Here is a 9342-nt window from a genome sequence, read left to right as displayed (position 1 = left end):
CATCCTCTTGGCACTGTCCTTGCAAGAGTGAGTGAGTTCTCATTACATCTGGCTGTTTAAAAGTGTGTGGCACCTCTCCCTGCTTGCTCCTGCTCTGGCCATGTGACATACCTTCTTTTGCTTCATCTTCTGCCATGTGTAAAAGCTCCCTGAGGACCCTTCTTGAAGCCAAGCAACTGCCAATGCAAAGCTTCCTGTACAGCCTGCAGAACTGTGAGCCAAGTCAATCTTTTTTTTCAGTATAAATTATGTAGTGCTTAGGTATTCCTTTATAGTAATGCAAGAATGCCATAATACAAGGCATAATGGTTTGCATTTTAAAAATGAAAATTAAATTTTTGTAATTTATCATGAAAAGATGAAATGAGTTAATAATGAGCAATATCTACATGTTGTCTTAGAGGTGCTGACAATCTGTCAAGGAATTACATGCATTGATCAAGCAGTTTACCTTCAAGTTGAATAACAAGATATTCCTATCTAACATAACAAAATTTTGACATTATTTGGGAGACTGGAAATAATGCTAAATAATATCAGATTGTCAAAGTCAAATAAATATAGAGACAAACATCTGAAATTAAAATGTTTTATTTGAGATACAAGTATTACAGTTTCACACATACATGCAGAATGGGTGTCTTTAGTATGTCCAAAACATAAAGAGAAAGTTAGAGGTTTTATAAAAAAGGGAGACAGAGAGAAAAACGGTATGTATTTCTCTTTGAGAAAGTTCACTGGCACCAGTAAGGTTTTTGAGAGCTGGCAGGCTCTGATAGGTGAGGGACAGTGGTGGGTAAAGCTAGTCTTAGTGTTCAAGAGGTTGTTTCAGTAACCATTTGATAAAACTGGTTTCAGCTTAAAGCAGGTAATTTCAGCAGCCAGGCATGCAGAGAATTACGCTTTTGGAGTGGTGTTTTTGCCCTGAATGCCTCCTCCCCCTGGCTTGTTGATGGTTTTATTTGGTGTGATAAGAATGACCCAATTCATATGATCAATTTTTACATTTACCCCTTTCCATCAAGATCTTTCTCTTAAAGCATCAACCATGTTTATAGTTGTACAACAACCACAAGTTAGGTTTAATCATCCCTTAGTGCTAGGATGGACCTGTCCCAGTTGCTCCGTCCCACATCTGGGAAAGGTATGGAGGTCTACATCAGGTCTATGTCAAGATTTATGGCTTAAAATGTCTATCCAAGGAAAAAATAAAACTGACCAGTAATCCCAGGAGAGAAACATACCTTGGCAAATTCTAAGATATTTCTAATTTTATTTAACAATTTTAAAATTAATTAATGTATCAAAGATTCACCTAACTCATGTCAAATAAAATATGTTTGCACTAATTAATATATATTTTATATGAACATTCCTTTATTTAAACCATCCTTTTTTCCTAGAGTGATGGATTAGGGGCTTTCAGTGTGCCTCAGCCACTTGGAAGTAGAAAAATAAGCATAAAGATAAACTTTGTGAGCTTCAATTCAAGAAGAAAAATAGGAATTCACAGGAATAGAGAAGAACACTCCAGACCCTGTGGAGGGGGAGGTGGGAAAGCAGACTCTGTGATAGCATTTGGTTCATAAAAGGGAGTGAAACTCCAGTACGAGACAAGAGCAGCCAGTCTCCCTCTGCAACTCACCTTTTCACTGGGGATCTGTGCAATCCAGATTAAGGGAGAGCACTCTGTGTCTCCCAAGCCTTGGAGCTAGCACAAAAGTGGCTGAGAGATGGGGAAAGAGGAAAGACACTCAGAAAAGCTGCAGGCATTTCCCCAGACCTGGGACTGAGAGAAGGATGCCCTTTTTAATCTGGGCTCATACAAAGTCAATCATTTTTTGGTGCCTGGCAATGGTGGCCACTGCAGACACTTTAATCTTGGGCTAGGAATTGGAGTGCTTTCTCTGGAGCAGGGGAGCAGCCTCAACAGCCAGAATTGAGTGTTGAGTGTGGAAAGTGCCCCAGCAGTAAGTGTTGGAATTAGGCTCTCTCCTCTTGCAGGACTGTAGTGGGAAGAGAGTTGCTAAAGCAGAGGTTTCTCAAGGATGGTGAGACTTGCAGCCAAGAACAGCTTTGCAACCTGGAACTGGTCTGTGTGTGTCATTGCTGGGTGTCTCAGCCTGCTCCCTTGGTCAGTTGAGAGAGTACTCCATCAGCTCCAAGAAACAAGAGGGAGGTGAACCCCATCCCCCAGGAGACCTAAACTTTGGTGAGGACCAGCCCTAAGGGAAGGAGGAATACAGCTTGCCAAAGCCACCCCTTGGGTCAAAGGAAACACGATCACTATATCAGCTGCTGAAAGGGGCACACCAAAGCCTGGGAACAGATTCAGAGAGGTGGTCATCTCTTGTCCTCTGTCCCCTTCCTAGTGCACTGCTGCAGATCCAGCAGTGGTCATCCTGTTGGGGCCCAAGGAACGTGGGCTGAATGAGGCTGCTTCTTAGGTTTCTCCAGCAGCTCTGCCCCTGCTGAAGACTAGTACACACTGGGACAGGGCACTTTTGGCATTTTGTCACTTCTGCACCTGTCGAGGACAAGTACACAGAGGAGAAGACCCTGCAGCCAGCTGTTACTCTTAAGCACTGTCTACTGGACTGAAGCCTGAATTACACCACCAAACAAAAATACATCACCACACCAAGCCACCACAGGAGCCTATCTGCAACCAAGGAGCTTGTACAGAGCCTTGGTCCTCTGAAAGTACCCAGAAATGAAGCAAAATGATCCTATACAACATAGACCACAGTCATACCCTTAAGAGAAAGAAAGAATGAAAAATTAAAAAAAAAAAACTCCTTCCAAATGATAGCAAATTCAACAAAGGAAGCATCAAGTCTCTCAGATGAGAAGAAACCATCACAAGAACTCTGGCAATACAAAAAGCCAGAATGTTCCATCTCCTCCAAAGGATTACACCAGCAATCTAGCAATGAGTCCTAACCAGAATGGAACGTCTGAAATGACAGGTATAGTATTCAAGACATAAGTGGCCAAAAAAATCACCAAAATCCAACAGAAAGTTGAAATCCAACAGCAACCCCATAACAATGATCCTGGATTTGAATGACAACATAGCCATATTGAGAAAGAACCAAGCAGAGCTTCTTGCATTGAAAAATTTACTACAGGAATTTCAAAAAACAGTTCGCAGCCTTAGCAACAGACTAGACCAAATAGAAGAAATAATAAGAGCTCAAAGAGCAGAACTTTGAATCAACCCAGTCAGACAAAAATAAAAAAAGAATTTAAAAATAATGAACCAAACTTTTGAGAAATGTAGGATTATGTAAAGGAACAAAATCTATGACTTATTGGCATTCTTTTTTGAGACAGAATCTCACTCTGTTACCCAGTCTGTAGTGCAGTGGCATGATCTTGGCTCACTGAAACCTCCACCTCCTGGGTTCAAGCAATTCTTGTGCCTCAGCCTCCCAAGTATCTGAGATTACAGGTGTGTGCCAGCATGCCTCGCTAATTTTTGTATTTTTAGTAAAGATGGGGTTTCACCATGCAGGCCAGTTAGGTCTCAAACTTCTGGCCTCGGGTGATCCTCCCACCTTGGCCTCCCAAAGTGCTGGGATTACTGGCATGAGCCACTGTGCCCGGCTGACTTACTGGCATTTCTAACAGAGAAGAATAGAAAGTGAGCAACTTGGAAAACGTTTTTGAGGATATAATTCAGGAAACTGTCCTCAATCTTGCTAAAGAGGTCCACATGCTGATACAAGAACTCCAGAGAACTCCCGTGAGACTGAAGGTAGGCAGTGAAGCAAATGCTTGCATTCTTGTGTGGCTCTGATTAGCATCAGGATATCTACATTTTACATAGGAAAGGAGGGAGCAGAGGAAACAGTTATGCGTTCCTCTCACATTCAGTAAATCTCCATTTTACATAAGATAAAGTAAGCATGTGAATAGAGGGAGTGGAGTAGAGGAAAACTCAATGATTCATTCATCTCAGGATAGGCAGAGGGATGATTTCTGGTCCTGACCTTGTCCCAGAACTATGAAAATAAGCTGGTAATTGAGATTGTCAGGGTGAAATTGAGCCGACTCACTTTTAGGGATAGTTTACAGGTGGGATGTGCATTCTGAAAGATTTAGGGGTTCACAGCAAATTGTGAGGGAGGACATCTGAGGAGACATGCGGCCTTCTGTCACTGTGGGAACCTGGCTTATGGATGAGGCTATGACACAGGGTTGTGAAGTTATAGCTATGTGTTTGAGAACAAGGAAGGCAGTATTGCATAACTCAGTTCCCAAGCTTAATTTTCCCTTTGACACAGTGAGCTTGGGGTTGGGGTCTCTATTCTCTTTTCTCTCACAAAATCATATGGGAACATTCCAGAAAATGTGAGGTTCTGTGCTCACTATTAAATAAAAATGACCAGGAGAGCCATGGGTAAGCTCCCTCCTCAGTCATCAGGACCCCAACAGAGAGTTTTCCCCTGTGTGAACAGGGTCCTGAATTCTGCAGGATCCCATGGGGACACAAGTGTCAGGATAGAGGCACTCATTCAGCCAGGTACAGTGTCTCCTGCCTGTAATGTCAGCTACACTGGAGGCTGAGGTCACCTTCAGGCCAGGATTTCAAGACCAGCCTGGGCAACATAGCAAGATCCCATATCTAAGAATAAAATTAGCTGGGTGTGGTGGCATGCACCTGTAATCCTAGTTACTTGGAAGAGAGGCTGAGGTGGGAGGATTGCTTGAGCCTAGGCGTTGGAGGCTACAACGAGCTAGGATTACACCACTGCACTCCAGTCTCGGCAACAGTAAGACTCCATATGTGACAACAACCAACCTATCCTGTGTTTTGAGTGTAAATTACCATAGCCTTTGTAACAGAAATTAGGCAGCAACTCTTATCATTCAAAATGCATAAGAAATTTGGCTAAGCAATTGTACTTCTAGATTATTTATTTATTTATTTATTATTGGGACAGAGTCTCACTCTGTCCCCCAGACTGGAGTGCAGTGACAGGATCTCAGCTCACTGCAACCTCTGCCTCGTGGGTTCAGGCAATTGTCCTACCTCAGCCTCCTGAGTAGCTGGGGCTACACGTGCACATCACCATACCCAGCTAATTTTTGTATTTTTTGTAGAAACGGGGTTTTGCCATGTTGGCCAGGCTGGTCTCAAAACTTCCGACCTCAGGTGATCCACCCACCTCGACCTCCCAAAGTGCTGGGATTACAGGCACTAGGTCCCTAATTTAGAGCCACATTGTTTAATGTCTAAAACCACTCTTGCATATTTATTACTGCATTGTTTGAACTTAAATATCCACAACAGGATAACAGGATAATTAAACAGTTAATTGCACTATGGCATATCCATCTGTTAACAAAATGAAGTTGATCTTTTTGTACTGTGGTGGAAAGATTTTCTGAACATAGTTCAGGTAAAAAAATGACCACTGTTGAATAATGCTTCTGGTATAACACAAAGTGTTTGAAAATGTACACAATACACTGTAATATCCAATGCATACATCAAAGTAAATATATTTTATTCTAGGATAATTATTAAAACATTAAGAAATACTCTTTAATCATATATGTTAAAACTTGTAGAAAATCAATAACATACAAGTAAAGAAGTTCAAGAAGCCAAAAAAAGTAATTCCAAGTGTAGAAAGCATGGTGAAAAGTGATGGAAGAAAAGTGCAGAAATTTAAAATGTGAAATTAAAATATATAATTATTAATTAAAAAACATAATTCTTAATTAAAATACATAATTCTTCATTGAACCCCGAATCTGTCATATGTGTGATCTTGGATAACGCATTCAACCTCCTGAACACTGAATTTTCTTGACTGTAAAACGTTTTAGAGAGGTTCCTCACCTGGTTGCATGAAGCAAACCTCTGTGTGTTAAGGCACTTCCCACAGCATCTGCGACGCAGAACAGTGGAAGCTGTGCTCTTCGTAGTCCCTGAACACAGACCCACAGCAGTATATTGTGTGTGTTTTTTTTTATATAAAAGGCTTTGAAAATGTCCCACAACTTCCTCAGTAACTGTCAAAAGGGGCAGACTTCAAAAGTAGAATTCTGGCAAATGTCTTCAAAAGACACAAAATTCTGGCAATGGGCTCATTTCCCTCCCACCTTGCTCTTCTGGATGCATCCATTCTCTCCCACAGCATAGTCATTTTCTTCCACTCCGTTGTAGAAATTGTCCTTCTAGTGGCAAGAGTGACGTGAGTGATATGCGGAAATTTCTTTCCAAGCTTGTTGGAGAAGCTTCCTCTGCCTGCTTCTTTTTGGCCACCTCCTGCCAGGGTAAGAGCAGAGGGCCTCCAGGGCTGCTCTGTCACCCCCAACAGCATGGACCTCACTGCAGTCACTCCGGAAGCTTCCCTCTAAAGGAAGCTTGTGCAGGAAACATCATGCATCGAGCAGCATGGGGACAGGGGCTGGCCAGCTGGGTAGGTCTCACACTCCTGACACTGAGACTCCAGGATACTCCTCTGTCCCCACCCAGGGCAGATCCCTGCCCTAAAATTTTTCCCCCTCATGTCCAGCAAATGCTGCATGGAGCCCTGGATTTCTACGTGGAAAGCTAGGAAGAGGGAGAGCTGAAATGAGGATGTAATCACCCTTTCCAAAGAGGTCAGTCCAGTACTACCCTGTGCTCCTGGGCAAGCTCTCCAGGCTGAGGTAACAGGAGCAGGGGTTATGTCAGGTGAAGGTTGAAGTGAGAGACCTCCCAGGAGGTGTAGAATATTCCACTAGGGACACCTCATACCTTTCCAGGATTAGACCTTGAGGCCTGGAGATCCCCAGGCAATTAGTATTGAAGGTCGAAAGGCCAATGACAGGAATAGGAAAGCCCACTGTGTAATTCACAAAGCACTTCCAAACCCATCACCACAGGTGACCCTCACAACAACCCTGTGAGACCTGCAGGGCAGGGGCTCTCACAAAGGAGGAGTCGGGAATGTCAAGATTTTAACACCTTCTCCAAGTCAGGATCAGGAAAGGCTGTCCCAGCACTGACCTATATTCCCTATGCTTCCTCCCACAAAACAGCTTAGGGTGACTGCCAACTTGTGGGCAGAGACCCTCACTTCCAATCCCCACAAGGGGCTGGGCAGTGGGGAGGATGAGGCCCCCTCCTCTGACTGTCACCTCCAAGACCCTGTTTTCTGAGGAAGGTCACTCTGGGAACTGTTGGCCTCTGCAGATGAGGGCCTGGACCATGTGGAAAGACGATGTGAAGGTCACACCTGGCAGGCACCAGCACTGGAGGGCAAACCTCACCTTTAAAACTCACAGTTTTTTTAAAAATTTATTTCTATTTTTAATTTATATGAGTACATGGTAGGTGTATATATTTATGGGGTACATGAGATAGTTTGACACAGGCATACAATGTGTGATAATCACATCAGGGTAAATGGGGCATTCATCACCTCAAGCAAGGAAAATGCCAGATGCTTATAAAACCATCAGATCACATGAGAACTCACTATCATGAGAACAGCATGTGGGAAACTGCCGCCATGATTCAGTTACCTCTCACTGGGCCACTCCCATGACACATGAGGATTATTGAAATTACAGTTCAAGATGAGATTTGGGTGGCAACACAGCCAAATCATATCACCTTATAAAATGAATAATGTGGAAATAGCAGCAGGCCTGAGTCCTGACCCCTGCAGTGTGATGCCCCCTCTTGAGGAGGGCCTGGCTTCTGTGCCACGCAGAAACTTTCCTGTGCTTCCTGCTGGCTTGGGGTGAGCCAGGTCCTCCTGGGGGAGCTGGGCACTTGTGGGACAGGAGAGTCCCTGGCCTGGGGTCTCCATTTGCCTCCTTATCCCATCAACAAAACACCAGAGGAGCCAACTCAACAAACCTCAATGCACGGCACTTCCTGGACCCTAGGTGCTCAGGGCCCCCTGAGCTACCCTGGGGCAGAACACTGGGCAGTGGCCAGTGCTTCCCCAACAACTCCCCCATGCACAGATGCCTGGTGGACATACTTCCCTTAACCCTGCTCAGCTGGAGCTCAGCCCCTATCCTAGTACCTCTGCCTCCTCCTCCAGGGCAGGAAAAGGAAACCCAACTCCAAACCCGTGGAGAATCCTCATCTTGGGTGAGGCCCTGGCTGGGACTCAGCCCCTTGTCAGGCCCTCGAGGAGCTCCATCTTCCCTTGTTTCCCTGCCCCATGGGACCCTGGGCCTCTGGGAAAGAGTTGAGGGTGTCATCTACTCAGCAGGTACCGCATGATCTTTGGGAAAGATTTGTGTTATACCTGCTCCTGGTGGGATAGGAACCTCTGGAGCTGGGCAGTATTTGGGCTGTAGAAAAGTGAGAAGCCCCTGACCCATCATGCATCAGAGCCCACTCCCAAGATGTGGAGCCATCAGCTGGAAGAGCTGGGCAGTGGCAGGGGACCCCGGACCCTGAGGCCTTCCTCCCTTCCATCAGGTGACCCTACCATGTGGTCTCAGCTCTAGGGAGATGGGCCCTAGCTGGAGGCACTGCACAGCAGCATCCTGGGTAAAGGTGCCAGGAGGGCAGGCCTGCCTTTGAGGCTGTGAGGCAGGGCTGAGGCAGGCAGTGGCCAGTGGAGGGAACCGGGTGGGTGCTGAAGGACTACATGGCCATCTCCTGCACATGGAGTCTGGCTAGGGGACATGGGATGGGCAGACACTGCCATGTTGACTTCATTGGCCCATCTGTGGGCTAGAGGGGCAGCTGGGAGTGTGGCCAGCTGGGAGGTAGGAGGACTCTTGGGGAAGTGAGAGTCACCTGCATGAACTCAGGGCTAGAGGGCTGCGGCTCTGGGACACACAGGGTGGCCGGGGGAACTGCAGCGCCCTCTGCTGTTGGAAATGAAAGTTGTCTGCCTTGAAGTGAAAGGGTCCCTGTTCAGCTCTGGGCCCCTGTGGGACCCTCAGCAGGGATGTCCTGAAGTCTCCTAACAAGCTGGAAAGCAAGGAAGATGCCTTGCCTGGAAGTCAGGATCGCCCAGGCAGGGTGGCTGTCCCATGGCCTGGCTGTGTGAGTCCCTGGGGGTAGCTGTCCACCTACACTGCAGGGAGTGCCTCTCCTCGGCCATCAGCTGATTCAGTGCCCAGAAGGTGTCTTCCTCTGGCAGATACAGGAGGAGGATGGCAGTTAGGCAGCTCATGTCCCTGTAGTAGCCCACCTCCTGCAAGAGCCAGAGTCACCATGGAAGCATGTCACCTGAGAGGGCTGAGGCCATCTGGGAGGACTCATGTCACTGGAGAGGACAGAGGTCACCTGGGAGACCTCCCTTAGGCCCTAGGGGATTTAGGGTGCAGACTCTGCACCCCTCCCCTGACCCTGGGCATGAGGACTAA

Source organism: Homo sapiens, chromosome 9 (assembly GCF_000001405.40).
Source record: "Homo sapiens chromosome 9, GRCh38.p14 Primary Assembly".
Lineage (NCBI taxonomy): Eukaryota > Metazoa > Chordata > Mammalia > Primates > Hominidae > Homo > Homo sapiens.
The sequence above is the reverse complement of the archived record's forward strand: the minus strand, read 5'-3'. Positions refer to the sequence as shown.